Consider the following 18,479-nt stretch of genomic DNA (forward strand, 5'->3'; position numbering starts at 1 on the left):
ATTCCTCTTTTCTATCTCCTTCCCCACCTATGTCTTTCCTTTCTGTCACTTTTTCTGCATGATTCCTGCCCCAGAGGGGTCAACAAGAAAGGGCATCCCACTGGCTGACTCATGCAGGGAAGCTGTCAGTAATTAATTAGCAAGGCAGGGAAGTTGTACCCCAAGTCTTGGTTTCAACACTAGAGGACTTTAGGAGGTGGTTCAATGTAGTGTTTGAGCACGCGGACCCTGGAGTCCTCCAAGCCTGATTTCATAAGTACTTCAGCTGTGACACTTGCGTAAACTTGGGTAAAAACTCAGCGTTATCTAGATTAAATATGATAATACATGCAGATGACTGGCATGTGGATATGAATCAGCAATACCCGTAATTGGGTGGGTGATATGCATTTTCCAGCACAATTATCTCCAACCTCCACAAGATTAATGATCTTAACCATGCATTCAGACTCTCTTCAGAACAACATGGTGAGATATCAATGTTGTCTTCTTGATGCAAGTTTCCCTTGAATGATTTAAACTTCAGATGGGTGGACTGTCTCCTTAGGGAGAATTTGCAAATTAAATATAATAAAAGCTAACATATATTGGAGGCTTACCGTGTACCAGGTGCTACCCTAAGTATTTACATGGAAGCTGGCATTATTGGCAGACCTATTTTTCAGATGATGAAACTGAGGCACAGAGGGGTTGAGTGACTTGCCCAAGGTTATGCCTCAAGTAAGTGGGGGAGCCAGAATTCAAGACCATACATTCTTTGTAAAAAAAAAAAAAAAAAAAAAAAAGGAAAGAAAAAAAGGCTGAGTGTGGTGGCTCACACATGTAATCACAGCACTTTAGGAGGCCAAGGCAGGAAGATCACTTAAGCCCAGGAGTTTGAGACCAGCCTGGACAACATAGGGAGACACTGTCTCTACAAAAAATGTTTTAAAAATTAGCTGGGCCTGGTGGCATATGCCTGTGGTCCCAGCTACTCAGGAGGCTGAGGTGGGAGGATCTCCTGTAAACCCAGGAGGTTAAGGCTGCAGTAAGCCATGACTATTCCACTCCACTCCAGCCTGGGTGATAGACTAAGACCTTGTCTCAAAATAAATAAATCAATAAATACATGAATAAATAAAATTTAAAAATTGATATGTAATTCATGTATCGTAAAATTCAGTGGTTTTCTGTGTGCTCCCAGATACAATCAACCATCACCAATATCTAATTCCAGATCATTTTCCTCACTCCAAAAAGAAACCCCATGCCCACTGGCAGTCACTCCTTATTTCTCCCCCTTCTTCTACCCCTCAGCACTAATTTACTTTCTGTCTGTATGGATTTGCCTATTCTGGGCATTTCATGGAAATGGAAGCCTTTATGACCGGCTTCTTTCACTTAGTTTTGTGGCTTATCCATGTTGTAGCATGAATCAGTATTTCATTCCTTTACATGGCCGAATATTCCATTGTATGGATTTACCGCATTTTTTTTATCCATTCATCAGTTGGTGGACATTTGGGTTGTTTCCCATTTTCAGCCATGAAAAATAATGTTGTTGTGAACATTTGTATACGATAAACCCTGATGTTCTAATTTTCGAGCCCATGTGCCTAACCTCTATACCTGACTGCCTCCCTGTGTTGACAGGAAACTTCTTGGGAAATGTCCTATCTCCATCCTTTTGGGAATGTCACATGCAGTGAAATGCGCCTAGAGTGGGTTTGACTTACATCACATGGTCTCTAATCCCTCAGCAAACATGAGTTCATCTTGTTTTGGTTGGTGTTACAGAATAACACCCTCAGCAAACATGAGTTCGTCTTGTTTTTGTTGGTGTTACAGAATAACATGCAGCTGGCTCTTTTTTAAAAAATTTAATATTAAACGTCCTTCATTGAACAAATATCTGTTGAGAGTCTTTGAGTGACTGGGATATGGCCATAATCAAATGAACATGGCTTTGCCATTCTAATGGAGAGGAAGGCATTGATTAGCTACAAACTGTGAAACATACTTTGAAAGAAAAGGATGTAAAGAGAGCTGATCATAGGGGGCCTTGCAGGATAAGGAGTGGCAATCTTGGGAGAAGTTGGGGGGATGGTGTGCCAAGCAGGGAAGATGGCAGGTGCAGCATGAAGCCAAATGTTTGGAATCATAGCATGTTCTTTCCCTTCATCCCTATGTCCCAGGGTCTCTTTACTTCATAAACATGGCCAAGTGGAAATCCTACTTTATGTCTCTTCTGTATAATCCCTTTGTCATGGCTTAACTTAGTGGCCTGTGCCCCTCCCCACTGCTCCTGGAACCACAACCCACATTGTTACAAGCCCCTGAAGGAAGTTATAAACACCTTATCTTCTACTAGGACAGGTGCCCCTGGAACTGTCTGGCTGGGCAAGCCATACTTACCTGCACTTCCCTATTCCATCTGTGAGTGATTCAGACTTGACTATTGTTATCATACTAAACTAAACTGGGGTTCACTCACCCAGCACAGTAAGACCAAACATCTACACTGAGATTTGCAATGGGAGAAAGGAAGGCATTTATGTGCAGGGCACAAAGCAAGGAGTGTTAGGAGGCTTATACTTGAGACCCAATCTCTCTAATGGCTTGCAAGTAAAGGTTTTTAAGAGCAAGGATACATTTTAGGAAAACAGAAGTTACAAGAAGAAATCGCAAATCAATACGCAGAGGTTACACATTGGTTTGGTCATGAGAAGTGAGGGCTTGCAGGTCATAGGTGAATTCAGAGATTTTCTGATTTGCAATTAGCTAAGGAAGAGAAGCTTGGTTTAAAATTCGGGGTTAGCAGAAAAGAATGTTTGCTCTTGCTCATGAGTGTGACTTCCTCCAAGAACAAAGAATGGCTGTCAGAGTTCAGTCGTTATTTCCCCTTATCTGAGGTCTGCCTGCCAAAGAATCCATTTGGTGGGAGTCCAGGTTTCTGAAAAACAACTCGGGGACATATGTTATGATGTGATCTGTAGTTTCTATAGGAAACCAAACATCTCTGGACTCTAACTTTCTTGGATATTGTTTTAGGCTACTATTACCTTCTTGCTTATCAAGTGCCTTATTTATTTCTCAGGGCCAGGTAGGTGCCTGGAATTTCCTTCGAAAGAACCCAAGATTTTCCTTTATTTCCATGCTTGGAGGAACCCACAGGCCCCTAAAAGGGATTCTCACTTCATCTCACCATTTTGGACCTTCCTCAAGATCTGGGCCCAGAGCATTCTGACTTCTGCAGCCCCACCTCACAGCCTATCAAATAGATTAAATTGCTCCTGCATCTTATGTCACATATGTCTTTGTAACTTGGTGAGCTAATCTGTAGTGGATTCATTGACATGTAGTTATGTTTTTATAGCCATTTCATAAAATATTCATAAATTCAATGTTTGCCATTTTAGTATTCTAGATTCAGCAAATTTCTTATTTTAAGTCTCAAACATTTTGCAGGTCCTTTGAAATCTTGCAGGTGGGTCCTGGCTCCATTACTTATGGGTCGTAGGTCATACAAGGGTCTGAAAGAGTTAGCACCTTAGAAGCAAACCTCTCCATAGGGTCCACGTTTCCAGACCTTCCTATTCCCAACATGAAATTACCTTCATGCACATCTTTGGGTCTCTCCTCTATTCAAAATGCCAGCTATCCTCCATTTACTTTTTGGGAAATCTGCTCTTGCCAACAGAGATTTGTTTTATCTTAGGATCTACTTCTTTCACCCCACTGGAATATGTCCCAAGCCTGAGTCATTCAGCCTGCAGCAATCCCTGAGAAAAAAAAAAAATCGGCCTTTGCCTGGACACTCAAGTGATACCTGAGGACACCTTGACTCCTACAGCACCAACCAGGGCAGGCCTGGGTCTCCAGCGGAGCTACTCTTTAGGGATCGTCATTATGACGAACAGACATGCCAGATTCCTCTGGCTAGTGTCCAGTGCAGACATACACACACACACACATACACACACACACACACACACACACCATTCTTAGTACAGTCAAAGCTCACAGGAGAAAGAAAAATGTTTTCTAATACCTTCTTAATTTGCAAGAAGGTGTTAGGAATTCAAGGGATGGTATGCATAGTGATGTTAGTTTCATTTCTTCAGCTCCTTCCTCCAACTCATGTTCTGTAGGGACTTCTGGGACTAAGAACAGGACCCACATATGAGCAACAGGATTTTCAGAGCAAGGCTGTGGTTGGAAGGGCTCAGACCAACGTCCACAGCAGAGTGGAGGTCTAGTATAAAGAATGTGAAGTTTGTAGCATCTCTTGATCCCGCTATTCCTACATGCTTGCTTAAGCCATTCTTCCTCTAGATGAACTGTTCTTTGAAGGAAACCTGCCTAATGTCTGCCTGCTCAAGAAGGTGGACCTGAGCTCTGTTCCCTTTGCAACCTTCCTGGAGTCTTATTGCTATCTAGATGAACTCAAAGCAAGATGCTGCCGCCCCCATGACTTTGATCATTGTAAGCTGCCAATCCTCTTGGGAGGCTGCTCCCAGCTTGGACTGAGCTGAGTCTTCGCATGCCTTGAACAATGAATTTGCATCCTGGTTATGTTCCCCATGGGGGCCAGCCCTGTCCTTGGAGTGGCCCCTCTAATCATGTTGCTCAGGCTTCTTCTCCCTTCCTGGGCCCCAGAACACCTCCGGTGCCAAACTTGTGGGTGGGAACAGGAACTCGCGTGCCAGCCAGGTGTGCATGACTAGCTCTGGGCAAGTCTGTTCTAGTAATTCAAGGTACCACCTCTCACTGGGACAGCCTAGTTTCTACACAGGTCTTGCTCTGGGACCGCCCTCAGCAGTGTGGTTAGCAGGCAGGGCCAGTGTGACCCTCCCTTTCTGGGCCTCAGTTGAGAAACCTGAAGCTCAGGAGAGGAGTCACTCCCCTGGCAGATGGGTGGCTGGGCCAGAAGCAGATACCAGGCTTTCTGACTCCTGCTCTAGGATTCTCACCACGTACTGGCTAGACTTATACTTCTCAAATCTTAATTTCCTAAAGGCAAGTAACAGTTTGAATGTTGTTATATTGTGATGTATAATAAGAAATATATGTTTGTCTTTGTTTCCTGGACACAGCTCCTGAAACCATAAGTGGTGGGAGCGATAAACGTGAACAAAGAATCTTTTGTTATTCAAAACAGATCCCTTTCGATCACACCTAAGTTTATGTAAAGGAGATGTAAAGTCTCTAAGGATGAGGGCTAGTTGCCAGGGAACAAAACCCTTGCGATTAGAGGGAAGAAAGGAGAGAGAGATTGAAGATTGATTTGATCACCGATGGGCAACAATCTAATCAATCATGCCTACTATGTATGGAAGCCTACATAAAAACTCAGAAGGGCAGGGTTCAGAGAGCTTTCAGGTTGCTGAAGGTGTGGAGGGTGGGGCACCCAGAGATGGCAGATGGGGCTCCATGGCCATACCCCCATATCTTGTTCTTTGTACTTTTTCCTCTGGCTATTCATCCGTATTGTTTGCAATATCCTTTGTAATAAACCAAACCTAGTAAATAAACTGTTTTCTTCAGTTCTGTGAGCCATTCTAGCAAATGATTGACTCCAAGAAAGAGGGTGTGTGAACCTCTGATTTTTGCCAAGTCAGACAGAAGTTGTGGGTAACCTGGGGACCTACTACTTGCAATTGGTGTCTGAAGTGAGGGCAGTCTTGTAGGACTGAGCCCTTAACCTGTGGGGTCCGTGCTAACTCAGAATTCAGTTCAGAATGGAATTGAATTGTAGGATACCCAGCTGGTGTTAGAGAATAGGTCCGTGTGCAAGAAAAATTCCCGCACATCATGGACATAACAGACAACGTCAATGATGAGGAATCCAGCAAGTTCGGGATAGAGAATTGGCAGGGGGTCCTCAGGGGTCTCTCCAAGTCATCTTCAAAGTGTTGCTATAACTTTTCAGAGAGGGAGAAGCAGACTTGTGGAGCTGAAGAGAAACACCCAGAAGCTCAGGTGAAAGCTGACACGGCCATAGTTGGTTCATATTAACCATGTGATTAAAATGGTTAAATATTAATTTGGGTTCTTACATATCAAAGGGTAAAATTCAGAGCAAGGGAGAGGTAGACAGGACCTGTGAAAAGCAGTGGTTAGTTTAGGGAAAATACCTAGGAGCCCTGTGATTTGGAGAGTGAAAACTCTTTATTACCGTTGTTACTTTAACTCTTTCCAGGATGGCCTGCCTCCTTCGCTCATTTCAGAGAATTTCTGCAGGGGTTTTCTTCTTAGCACTTTGGGGCATGGTTGTAGGTGACAAGCTGCTGGTGGTCCCTCAGGACGGAAGCCACTGGCTTAGTATGAAGGATATAGTTGAGGTTCTCAGTGACCGGGGTCATGAGATTGTAGTGGTGGTGCCTGAAGTTAATTTGCTTTTGAAAGAATCCAAATACTACACAAGAAAAATCTATCCAGTGCCGTATGACCAAGAAGAGCTGAAGAACCGTTACCAATCATTTGGAAACAATCACTTTGCTGAGCGATCATTCCTAACTGCTCCTCAGACAGAGTACAGGAATAACATGATTGTTATTGGCCTGTACTTCATCAACTGCCAGAGCCTCCTGCAGGACAGGGACACCCTGAACTTCTTTAAGGAGAGCAAGTTTGATGCTCTTTTCACAGACCCAGCCTTACCCTGTGGGGTGATCCTGGCTGAGTATTTGGGCCTACCATCTGTGTACCTCTTCAGGGGTTTTCCGTGTTCCCTGGAGCATACATTCAGCAGAAGCCCAGACCCTGTGTCCTACATTCCCAGGTGCTACACAAAGTTTTCAGACCACATGACTTTTTCCCAACGAGTGGCCAACTTCCTTGTTAATTTGTTGGAGCCCTATCTATTTTATTGTCTGTTTTCAAAGTATGAAGAACTCGCATCAGCTGTCCTCAAGAGAGATGTGGATATAATCACCTTATATCAGAAGGTCTCTGTTTGGCTGTTAAGATATGACTTTGTGCTTGAATATCCTAGGCCGGTCATGCCCAACATGGTCTTCATTGGAGGTATCAACTGTAAGAAGAGGAAAGACTTGTCTCAGGTTGGTGGGTTTATTTCTTTTGGACTGCCTTGTTTCTTCCAGGCTCTGTCCTCCCTCACTCATTTGGCTCCTTGAGCCGACTGTCCCTTGGAGGATTTCCTGGAGAAACGGTGGGGGGAAGTGATACCCGGCTCGGAGCAGCGGGAACACATAGGAGACCTGAGGCTGAAGTGATACAGAGGCATTCGGATGAAGACAGGGCTCATGCTTGGCAAGAGTAGGAGATTTGCTTAGTTGGATAATCTGGGACAGTCACATACTCATTGAATGAGCCTTAGAAATGTCCCAGTTCAAACAGAGGTGAAGGCTTGACTAAGGGAACAGGTCCAGGTTAAAATCCATTTTCCCAACTCTGTCCCATGCTTTGTCTCTGGACCTTGAGCCAGGGACCAGCGAACTACAGCCTGTGAGCCCAATCTGCCCAAAGGCCTGTTTTTTGTTTTTTTTTTTCCTTTTATGTTGAGACCTGTTTTTATATGGCCCAGAGCTAAGAATGGTTTTTGTAGTTTTAAAACAATTTAACAATGAAGAATATGTGCCACAGAAGTATTTGGTCTGCAAAGCCTACACATTTACTGACTGGCCTTTTCAGCAAAAGGGGTATGGCCTCTGACCTAAGACAAGTGTTTACAGATGCCCTCCTGACATGTAGGAAAAGGGCCCAGAGTTACTTTGGAAAATAAAAATCTGTGAGTTTTAAATTTCAATGTAAATATTTACAACTTTGAAGGGCTTCAGGCAACTCCCTCTATCTTTTATGCCTCAATTTTCTTTTCCAGTTCCTTTTTTATCAGAGAGAAAGCCTCAAACAGGTCCCAAAGACCCTTACCTCTCTTCTTTACACCTGCTGATTTCTCTGTTAACAATTTGAACAGTTGGCAGTAGCCACTGTGAAAAGGCAAGGGTGAGGGGATGGGGATAACTGAAATGGTTCCAGGGATTCTGGGGCATGAAATAAAAACATAGAATGTCAGGATTCTTTTAATTGGGACATAATATAGTTGTACACATTTGGGGGGTTCATGTGATATTTTGATACACGTATACAATGTGCGATGATCAAATCAGGGTAATTGAGATATCCATCACCTTGAACATTTATTCCTTCCTTATGTTGGGAACATTCCCATTCTTCATTTCTAGCTATTTTGAACTGCAGTATACATTCTTGTTAACCATAGTCACCCTACTGTGCTATCGCACTTTGGACTTACTCATTCTATCTAATGGTGTTTTTGTGCCCATTAACCAACCCTTTTCTTTTCTTTTTTTTTTTTTTGAGACAGAGTCTCACTCTGTCATCAGGCTGGAGTGCAGTGGTGCGATCTCAGCCCACTGCAACCTCCACCTCCTGGGTTCAAGCGATTCTCCTGCCTCAGCCTCCTGAGTAGCTGGGACTATAGGCATGTGCCACCATTCCCAGCTAATTTTTGCATTTTTAGTAGAGGCGGGGTTTCACCACGTTGGCCAGGATGGTCTCAATCTCTTGACCTCGTGGTCCGCCCACCCCAGCCTCCCAAAGTGCTGGGATTACAGGCGTGAGCTACCGCGCCCGGCCTTCTTCTTCTTCTTTTTTTTTTGATCAACGTGCTTTATTGGCCCTTTAGATGTTTTTCTCTTTTCTATCAAAGTTTTTGGAGTATTACAAATTTTATTTCTTTTTTCTTTTTCTTTTTTAAATTTTAACCAACCATTTTCACCCCCCCTTCCCTACTTACCCTTTCCACCTTCTGGTAATTACCAATGAACTCTCTACCTCCATGAGACCCACTTTTTTAGCTCCACATATAAATGAGAACATGTGGTATTTGTCTTTCTGTGCCTAGATTATTTCACCTAACATAATGACTTCCAGTTACATTTATGTTGCTGCACATGACAGGTCTTCATCCTTTTTTATGGCTGAATAATTTTCCATTCTGTATATGTACTATCTGTGAGTGGAAAACAAAACCAACAAAAAACTCAAAGGGTTTTTCCTGTTTTCTCACTCAACAACAAACAACGCAGAAAACTTCAGTGAACAAATGTGTGGGGTTTTTTTTCTCCACACACCAAGCAAGCAGGCAATTCTGCCAGATACCAGCTGGGTGTCCTCTAATTCAGTTCTGAAGATGTCCACCTGAAGATAGCATCAGGTCCCACAGACATGGGGCTCAGTCCCTAATTTACATTTGAAGAATGTAAATTAGTACAGCCACTATGAAGAACAGTATGGAGAGTCTTCAAAACAAAACAAAACAAAAAGAACTAGAACTGCCCCAATATATCCCATTGCTGGGTATATATCCAAAAGAAAAAAATATATATTGAAGAGCTATCTGCACTCCCATGTTTATTATAGCACTATTCACAGTAGCCAAAATATGGAATCAACCTAAGCACACATCAGTGAATGAATGGATAAAGAAAACGTAGGACTGTAATATCGTGAAATATATATTTGGTCTTCATCCTCATTTCCTTATACAGATCTTTCACTTCCTTCCTTAAATTTATTCCTAGGTATTATATATTCTTTGTACGTTTTGTAAATGGGGTTGATTTCCTTTTCAGTTTTTTCTCTGTTGGCATTTATAAATGCTACTGATTTTTGTAAGTTGATCTTGTATACTGCAACTTTACCGAATTTGCTTGTCAGTTCTAACAGCTTTTGGGTGGAATGTTTAAATTTTTCTGAATATATTATGTCATCTGAGAACAAGAATAATTTGACTTCTTCCTTTCCAACTTGGATGCCCTTTCTTTCTTTCTTTCTCTTGCTTAATTGCTTTGGATAGGACTTCCAGTACTATGAAGAATAACAGTGCTGACAGTCAGCATCTTTGTCTTATTCCAGATTTTAGAGGAACAGTTTTCAGTTTTACCCTTTTCAGTATGATGTTAGCTGTGGATTTATCATATATGGATTTTATTGTTTTGAGGTATGTTCCTTCTGTAGCCAGTTTATTGAGAGTGTGTATCATAAAGGGACGTTGAATTTTGTTGAATGTTTTTTCAGCATCTACAACATATGAGTTCTGTCCTAAATTCTGTCAATGTATTCATATCAATATATCAATAAATGCATCAGGATTAATTATCTTTTTAACATATTATTGGATTTGGTTTGCTGGTGTTTCGTTGAGATTTTTGCATCTATGTTCGTCAGAGATATGGGCCCGCAGTTTTCTTTTTTTTTGTTGTGTCCTTGTCTGGTTTTGGTATCAGGGTAACACTGGTCTCACAGGATGAGTTTGGAAGTATTCTCTCCTCTTCATTTTTCTGTAATAGTTTGAGTGGAACTGGTATTAATTCTTTTAAAAATGGTTGGTAGAATTCAGCAGTGAATCCATCTGGTCCTGGGCTTTTCTTTGATGAGAGACTTTTTATTACTGCTTCAATCTTGTTACTTATATTGGTTTGTTGAGGTTTTCTATTTCTTCTTCATTCAATCTTGGTAGATTGTTTGTGTTTGGAAATGTATCCATTTCCTCTAGGTTTTCTAATTTGTTGGCATATAGAGTTCACAATAATCGCTAATGATCCTTTGTATTTCTGTGGTGTCAGTTGCTGTGTTTCCTTTTTCATTTCTGATTTTATCTGAGTGTTTTCTCTTTTTCTTAGTCTAGCTCAAGGTTTGCCAATTTTGTTTATCTTTTTTTTTTTTTAAAAAACTTTTTGTTTCATTGGTCTTTGCATTGTTTATTTAGCCTCAATTTAATTTATTTTTTCCCTGATCTTTATTATTTCTTTCCTTCTACAAAGTTTGAGTTTGGTTTACTTTTGCTTTTTTAGTTCCTTGAGGTGCATTCTTAGGTTGTTTATTCAAAATATTTCTGCTTTTTGGATGTAGGCATTTATTGTTAAAAACTTCTCTCTTAGTTCTGGTTTTGCTATAGCCCATAGATTTTGATACATTGTGTTTCCATTTTCATTCGTTTCAAGTAATTTTTAAATTTTCTTTTTAATTTCAAGAAAATCTAATTAAGAAGTTAGTAAGCAAAAGTTATGCATTTATTTAATGATTTCTTACCATTGATTGAATCAAATCTATTGACTCCTTCTCCTAGAAGTCTAGGGTATTGGAAAAAAGTAAATGAAAGCTATTTATTCTTATTACAAAGAAATATTTGGTGTAAGAAGGAAAAAATATCATTTCTGCACATTGGTACCAATTATCTTATTTTTTCAAAAAGTTGTACTCAGTTATATTGAGAAACTGGGCTCTAATGAATGTACTTTTTGAGCCCTGTGACCCTGTATCTGGTGCTTGACCTTGTTTGTGTCTCAACTGTATTCCCAGCATGTCGTCCTAGAGAACATTCTGTATTATGATATGTAATTATCAACATGCACTTTTAATTATTAGGAATTAAATTAAAGTGATCAAAATAGAATTTCTTTTGTCCAATAATCAAACCATTTCAACACTATGAAAAAAAATGTGTCTTTGGACAGATGGAAATGTCTGGAACCAGATAGAGGTGTCAGTTGCAAAACATGAATGTGCTGAATGCCATGAAATTGTTCACTTTAGCGTGGTGAATTTTATGTGACTTCATCGCAATAAATTATTTAAGAAAAGAAGATATATCACAGATCATAGAAAATGAAGCCCTGATTTATAGCTTAAAAATGCAGTCCTCATTAGGCAAATCACATAATCGGCAATACATAAAGTAAACAGAACACGAGTGGCCAACAAAACTTTAAGAACATGTTTAATTTCAGAAATAATCCAAGAAATTCGGATTAATAAACAGTGGAATTCAATTTTGCCTAACAGGTTAGTAAGCATGCTTTATAGGTAACTATTGGCCCAACTATAAAACAAATACATTTCTAAAAAAAATGTGCAAAGCCTTTTGAAAACCATAGCTTGGTGACCATTTTTTACATAATGCTATGATTCAGAAAGAAAGAGTATCCTTTCTCATGGTAACCTCTGGGCTCCCAGCCTCGCCTTGTGGAAGAGTAAGGCAGGATCACTTCCCTCTTATTCCCATGTTGGTGTGACTTTGCGACTTTGACCAAAGCCTTACCTGCCTCCTCTGCCCAAGGAGGGACGTGGCCGTCTCAGAGGGCTGCTTGGTTTCTGTCCAAGCTGGCCCTTGGGGAAGCCCTTTGGCCACCCAGGTGGTGATTCCTGCTGTAAGAACATGAGAGGCTGAGCCACCAGGCAGTCCCAGATGTCCTGAAACAACTTATCCCAGCCCTGCCCAGGGCCTTCTCTCTAGCCCTGTGCACCTCATCACCTGCCCCAAAACAGTTCTACTTATGTCAGATTCTCATGGGTGCCTTGCAACCTTTCTGTCTGTCTCTCTGATCCTCACTTCTTCTTCAGAATCTCATGCTGTTGCATGAAAAAAAAACAAAAACGAACTTTTGTTTTTAGGCCCCTTTCCTCTTCCTATAGGGGCTTGAATCCAGGCCAGATGCTGGGACACTCTTATGCTGTCCTTTTTGCTATTTTGTTGAGTTTCATCCACCCTAGGGCTAACCTCTTTTCTTATTGGTATGGCTAGATTTCAAATATCTCAATTTTAGAAGAGAATTTAGCTTTGCATTTCATTATTAGAAGGGTCATTGGAGTGTTTTCCTTAGAACAAAGGAGGTCAGAAGTAAATCCTAGTCTCTTCTACTTGTAATACAAAGAACTGTTCAAGCCTTCCGAAGGACAGGGCCATTCACATCATAGAGCCAGGTCATGGCCAGAGCTCTGGCTCTAGGACATCCTTTCTTCCCAGCCTGGTCTATAGAAAGGAATAGAATGCAAGCTCAGGCCTAGAGCCTAGCTAGGCCTGAATACAGGCTGAAACTTTCTCGCTGAGAGGTGATAAAAACAATGAATGTGGTTTTCTTGCAGCATTTTTTACGGAGCGTTTTCCCAGAAAACTAGACCCCAGTTCCTCAGGACTAGTTCTGTTCCCAAGTTTCCTCCTCTCATATTCTGGAGTCATCTAAATAGTAGTTCTCAAATAGAACTAATTTTTCCCCTAGGACAGATATGTCTGAAGACATTTTTGGTGTTGCAATTGGAGAGGCGAAATAGTCAGTAGGATATACGTAGAGGCCAAGGATGCTGTTGAAAGTTGTACAATGTGTGAAAAATACCCGTCCCCCAACTCCCAACAAAGAATTACTCTGGCTCAAAATGTCACGAGTGCTGAAATTGAGAAACTCTGATCTAAATCAATTCCAAGTGAATCCAGTGGTGTCTACCCAGCAAGGCCCCCAGCCTGGAGGTGTGGAGGGCAGCAAGGATCCTGTGCCCACCCTCTGAGCTGTTTGTCTCCCTATAGGGGTCTTTACAAGGAATGCTCATTCAGGCTGAAATCTCAGCCTTTGTTGGCTGAGCTGTGGGTTCATTCTAGGCAACTCAGTAGAACAAAAGCCCCAAAATGCCAAGTCATTCTTAATAGGCACTTTTTAAAATACGTGACTTAGGCCAATGTCTACAATGCCTTTAAAATTCTGCCTCTCTTTCAAAACCCTGTGCTTATCTTTATGGCTGATTATCTGGGGCATTTCCAGGCATGTGGAACATTTTGGCAGCAGTGTTTCTGTTAATAGATAATTATCTAAAGAGTAGCTGAATGCTAGAATGATTCAGCTAAAAAAAGTATTCAACATGAGTACATAAAAGCCTAGAAACTTGACTGTCTAGTAATTTAGATAACTCTAGGAGAATGAGAATAAGGGGTTATAAAAATATAACTTTATTATGATGCAATTTATTATGATACAATTCACTCTTTTTTTGGGGGGGTTCCAGTAAGATTTAATGACTTTAAGTGTTTACATATTTCTACTTTTCAGCACAAATTCGTGATAATATATAAACTACACTTTGAATGTTTTTTTCTTTTTTTAAAAATTTTATTATTATTATACTTTAAGTTTTAGGGTACATGTGCACAACGTACAGGTTTGTTACATATGTATACATGTGCCATGTTGGTGTGCTGCACCCATTAACTCGTCATTTAGCATTAGGTATATCTCCTAATGCTATCCCTCCCTCCTCCCCCCACCCCACAACAGTCCCCGGTGTGTGACGTTCCTCTTCCTGTGTCTGTGTGTGATTGTTCAATTCCCACCTATGAGTGAGAACATGCGGTGTTTGATTTTTTGTCCTTGCGATAGTTTGCTGAGAATGATGGTTTCCAGTTTCATCCATGTCCCTACAAAGGACATGAACTCATAATTTTTTATGGCTGCATAGTATTCCATGGTGTATATGTGCCACATTTTCTTAATCCAGTCTATCATTGAGGGACATTTAGGTTGGTTCCAAGTCTTTGCTATTGTGAATAGTGCCGTTATAAACATACATGTGCATGTGTCTTTATAGCAGCATTATTTATAATCCTTTGGGTATATACCCAGTAATGAGATGGCTGGGTCAAATGGTATTTCTAGTTCTAGATCCTTGAGGAATCGCCACACTGTCTTCCACAATGGTTGAACTAGTTTACAGTCCCACCAACAGTGTAAAAGTTCTTAGAGATCTACAAAGAGACTTAGACTCCCACACAATAATAGTGGGAGACTTTAACACCCCACTGTCAACATTAGACAGATCAACGAGACAGAAAGTTAACAAGGATACCCAGGAATTGAACTCAGCTCTGCACCAAGCGGACCTAATAGACATCTACAGAACTCTCCACCCCAAATCAACAGAATATACATTCTTTTCAGCACCACACCACACCTACTCCAAAATTGACCACATAGTTGGAAGTAAAGCACTCCTCAGCAAACGTAAAAGAACAGAAATTATAGCAAACTGTCTCTCAGACCACAGTGCAATCAAACTAGAACTCAGAATTAAGAAAATCACTCAAAACCGCTCAACTACATGGAAACTGAACAACCTGCTCCTGAATAACTACTGGGTACATAACGAAATGAAGGCAGAAATAAAGGTGTTCTTTGAAATCAACGAGAACAAAGACACAACATACCAGAATCTCTGGGACACATTCAAAGCAGTGTGTAGAGGGAAATTTATAGCACTAAATGCCCACAAGAGAAAGCAGAAAAGATCTAAAATTGACACCCTAACATCACAATTAAAAGAACTAGAAAAGCAAGAGCAAACACATTCAAAAGCTAGTAAAAGGCAAGAAATAACTAAGATCAGAGCAGAACTGAAGGAAATAGAGACACAAAAAAAAACCCTTCAAAAAATTAACAATTCACTAATTTTAATGGTTTTTGGTATAGTCACAGATTTGTACAACCATCACCATAGTCAACCTTAGAACATTTTCAGTCACTCCCAAAGATACCTTATATCTATTATCAGTCACTCTTCTTTCTCTCCTTCCTCCAGCCCCTGGCAGCCATTAATCAACTTTCTGTCCTTATGAATTTGCCTATTTCTATGGATTCCATTCACAAAATACATGAATAGCTTTTTCCCTTTAGCATAAAGAGTTTTGTATATTGATCTTGTACTTCAACATTTCTGAACTTGTTTATTTGTTCTAATAGTTTTTTTTTAGTGGATTTCGTAGGATTTTCTACATTCCAGATCATGTTATCTACAAATAGAGATAGCGTTACTTCTTCCTTTCTAATAAGGATAACATTTATTTCTTTTGCTTATCTAATTGCCCTGGCTTGAACCTCTAGTACCGTGTTGAATAGAAGTGGAAAGAGGAGATTCTTATCTTGTTCCTGATCTTAGGTGGGGAAGTATTCAGTCTTTTAGCAGATTAGGTCTTAACTGGAGATTTTTTGAGTAGATGCCCCCCACATTATGAGATTGAGGAAATTTTCATCTATTCCTAGCTCGTTGAGTATTCTTATCATACCTGAGGTGTTTGGTTTTGTCAAATGCTTTTTCTGTGTCTATTGAAATGAACATGGTTTTCTTTTTGGTCCCCTATTCTAGTGATATGTGTTAATTGATTTGCAGGTGTAAACGAACCTTGTATTCCTAGAATAATCCCACTTGATTGTGTTGTATAATCCTTTTACATGTTACTGAATTTGGTTTGACAGCATTTTATTGAGGACTTTTGCATCATATCCATAAGAGATATTGGAAGTCTTATTTTCTTGCGGAGCCTTGGTCTGTGTTTGCTATCTGAATATTACTGGCCTTGTAGAAGAAACTGGGGAATGTTCTCTTCTATTTTTTGGGAACAGTCTGTCAAGAATTGGTATTCATTCTTTACATATTTGATAGAATTCACTAGTGAAGCTGTCTGGGCCTAGGCTTTTCTTGCAGGAGGTTTTAAAATTACTAATTTAATCTTTTTACCTGTTATGGCTTTATTTAGATTTTGTATTTCTTCTTGATTCAATTTCAGTAGTTTGTTTCTTTCTAGGAATTTGTCAATTTTATCTAAGTTATCTAATTCCTTGGCATAAAATGGCCCAGAGTGTTCCCTTATAATACTTTCTGTTTCTGTAAGGTTGGTAGTAACATTCCCTCTTTCATTTCATATTTTTAGCAATTTTGAGTCTTCTCTCTTTTTTCTTTGTTAATCTAACTTTAGGTTTATCAATTTTGTCTATATTTTCAAATAAACAATTTTGGTTTTGTTTATTTTTCTCTATTGCTTCTCTATTTCTATGTCGTTAATTTCCCCTCTATTCTTTATTATTTTCTGCCTTCTTGCTTTGTGTTTAGTTTAGCTTCCTGGTGGAGTGACACTTATCATTACACAATTTCCCACTTTATTGCTAGTAATATTTTTTGTTTTAAGGTCTATATTATCTTGCTTCATGATACTGTGTCATTAAAAAAGTCTATTTTATCTGATATTAGTATAACCAATCTGCATTTCTTTTGGTTGCTGTTTCATGATATATTTTTTTTCCACCATTTAACTTTGTAAAATTTAAGTTTTAAATATAAACTTTTTTTTGTTTTTAAATCTCAAATGTATCTTCTGCAGACAAGATATTATTAGTCCTTGTTTTTAATGCAGTCTGATAATCTCTGTCTTTTAATTGAGTTGTTTAATCCATTCACATTTAATACTATTATTGATGTAGATGGAATTATGTCTACCATCATTTTTTTCTTTTCTTTTTTTTTTGAGACAAAATCTCATTCTGTTACCCAGACTGGAGTGCAGTGGTGTGATCTTGGCCCACTGCAACCTCCGCCTCCTGGGTTCAAGCAGTTCTCCCACCTCAGCCGCCCGAGCAGCTGGAACTACAGGTGTGCACCAACATGCCTGGCTAATTTTTGTATTTTTTATAGAGACAGAGTTTTGCCATGTTGGTCAGTCTGGTCTCAAACTCCTTACCTCAAGTGATCCACCCGCCTCAGCCTTTCAAAGTACTGGGATTACAGGTGTGAGCCACTGTGCCTGGCCCCATTTTACTTTTTATGCTCTATATCTCTCATGTATTTATTTGTTCCTCTGTTCTGCCTTTATTGCTTTTTTTTTTTTTTTGCATTGAGTGAATATTTTCTAGTGCAACATGTAAAATCCTTTAATGTTTTTCTTTCCACTATTTAAAAAGTTGTGTTCTGAGCGGTTGTTCTAGGGCTTAGCACATCGATTTTAACTTACCAGTATCTACTTCAGATTTATACCAACTTAATTCCAGTTAAATATTGAAATGTCATTCCTATATAGCTCTATTTCCTTTCTCCCCTTTTTATGATATTATTGTTATACGTGGTACATCTATATATGTTACAAACTAAACAATACATGGTGATAATATTACTTTATATAAATACACATGCTTTCAAGAATCAGAGAGAAGAAAGAAGAGCAAGTATGTATTTATAGAGTTTGTTATATTAACCTTTTTGCTTATCATTTTTGGTTCTTTTCCTTTGTTCTTATGGATCTGAGTTACCTTATGGTATCATTTCTTAGCCCAATTTGCCTTTGCTCCCAACTGCCTCCCTTGTGCTATTATTGTCAAATATATTACGCTTCCATATGTTATAGTCCCAACAATATAATTATATATATGTATATTGCTTTTTAGGATTGCTTTTAAAATCAGTTAAGAGAATAGGGCCGGGCACGGTGGCTCACTCCTGTAATCCCAGCACTTTGGAAGGCTGAGGCAGGTGGATCACCTGAGACCAGCCTAGATCAAGACCAGCCTGGCCAACATGGTGAAACCCCATCTCTACTTAAAATACAGAAATTAGCCGGGTATGGTGGCAGGCGCCTGTAATCCCAGCTACTCGGGAGGCTGAGGCAGGAGAATTGCTTGAACCCGGGAGGCGGAGGTTGCAGAGAGCCAAGATCGTGCCATTGCACGCCAGCCTGGGGGACAAGAGCGAGACTTCGTCTGAAAAAAAAAAAAAGAGAGAGAGAGAGAGAATAAAGGGGAAGTATGCATTGGTACTGCCTTTTATAACTACATGATTACTATTATCAGTGCTTTTTTTCTGTATGAATTCAGATTATTCTATGGGGTCACTTGCTTTCAACCTGAAGAACTTCCTTTAGTATTTCT

General features: G+C 39.9%; 5 protein-coding genes and 1 further gene across 6 annotated transcripts in view, besides 2 other annotated features; all 6 read left to right on the forward strand.

The window, feature by feature from the left end:
• The window catches only part of UGT1A (UDP glucuronosyltransferase family 1 member A complex locus), a 187,861-nt gene that overhangs the window by 101,384 nt on the left and 67,998 nt on the right, over positions 1-18,479 (forward strand).
• The window catches only part of UGT1A8 (UDP glucuronosyltransferase family 1 member A8), a 155,668-nt gene that overhangs the window by 69,190 nt on the left and 67,999 nt on the right, over positions 1-18,479 (forward strand). The window lies entirely within an intron of this gene.
• UGT1A10 (UDP glucuronosyltransferase family 1 member A10) overlaps positions 1-18,479 on the forward strand; it is a 136,853-nt gene that overhangs the window by 50,375 nt on the left and 67,999 nt on the right. The window lies entirely within an intron of this gene.
• UGT1A9 (UDP glucuronosyltransferase family 1 member A9) overlaps positions 1-18,479 on the forward strand; it is a 101,403-nt gene that overhangs the window by 14,925 nt on the left and 67,999 nt on the right. The gene's annotated exons all lie outside the window — the stretch shown is intronic.
• The window catches only part of UGT1A7 (UDP glucuronosyltransferase family 1 member A7), a 91,400-nt gene that overhangs the window by 4,922 nt on the left and 67,999 nt on the right, over positions 1-18,479 (forward strand). The gene's annotated exons all lie outside the window — the stretch shown is intronic.
• Positions 4,206-4,813: an enhancer, noted in NCBI's record as "NANOG-H3K4me1 hESC enhancer chr2:234599674-234600281 (GRCh37/hg19 assembly coordinates)". NCBI's record gives its function as "activates a minimal SCP1, AML or CMV promoter by ChIP-STARR-seq in naive H9 embryonic stem cells {active_cell/tissue: H9 hESC(naive)}" and the evidence as "EXISTENCE:reporter gene assay evidence [ECO:0000049][PMID:30033119]".
• Positions 4,814-5,420: an enhancer, noted in NCBI's record as "NANOG-H3K4me1 hESC enhancer chr2:234600282-234600888 (GRCh37/hg19 assembly coordinates)". NCBI's record gives its function as "activates a minimal SCP1, AML or CMV promoter by ChIP-STARR-seq in primed H9 embryonic stem cells {active_cell/tissue: H9 hESC(primed)}" and the evidence as "EXISTENCE:reporter gene assay evidence [ECO:0000049][PMID:30033119]".
• Positions 4,880-18,479, forward strand: part of UGT1A6 (UDP glucuronosyltransferase family 1 member A6) — an 81,599-nt gene continuing 67,999 nt past the window's right edge. The window contains exons 1-2 of one of the 2 annotated variants that reach the window (NM_205862.3): positions 4,880-4,998; positions 6,977-7,043. In NM_205862.3, coding sequence (NP_995584.1) covers positions 6,984-7,043 — 60 coding nt within the window. In that variant the 5' untranslated portion in view covers positions 4,880-4,998; positions 6,977-6,983. Of the gene's footprint in view, positions 4,999-6,067; positions 7,044-18,479 lie in introns of those variants that run through there. The other variant, NM_001072.4, reaches the window with a different exon arrangement.

This window comes from Homo sapiens, chromosome 2, assembly GCF_000001405.40.
Source record: "Homo sapiens chromosome 2, GRCh38.p14 Primary Assembly".
NCBI classification, from domain to species: domain Eukaryota; kingdom Metazoa; phylum Chordata; class Mammalia; order Primates; family Hominidae; genus Homo; species Homo sapiens.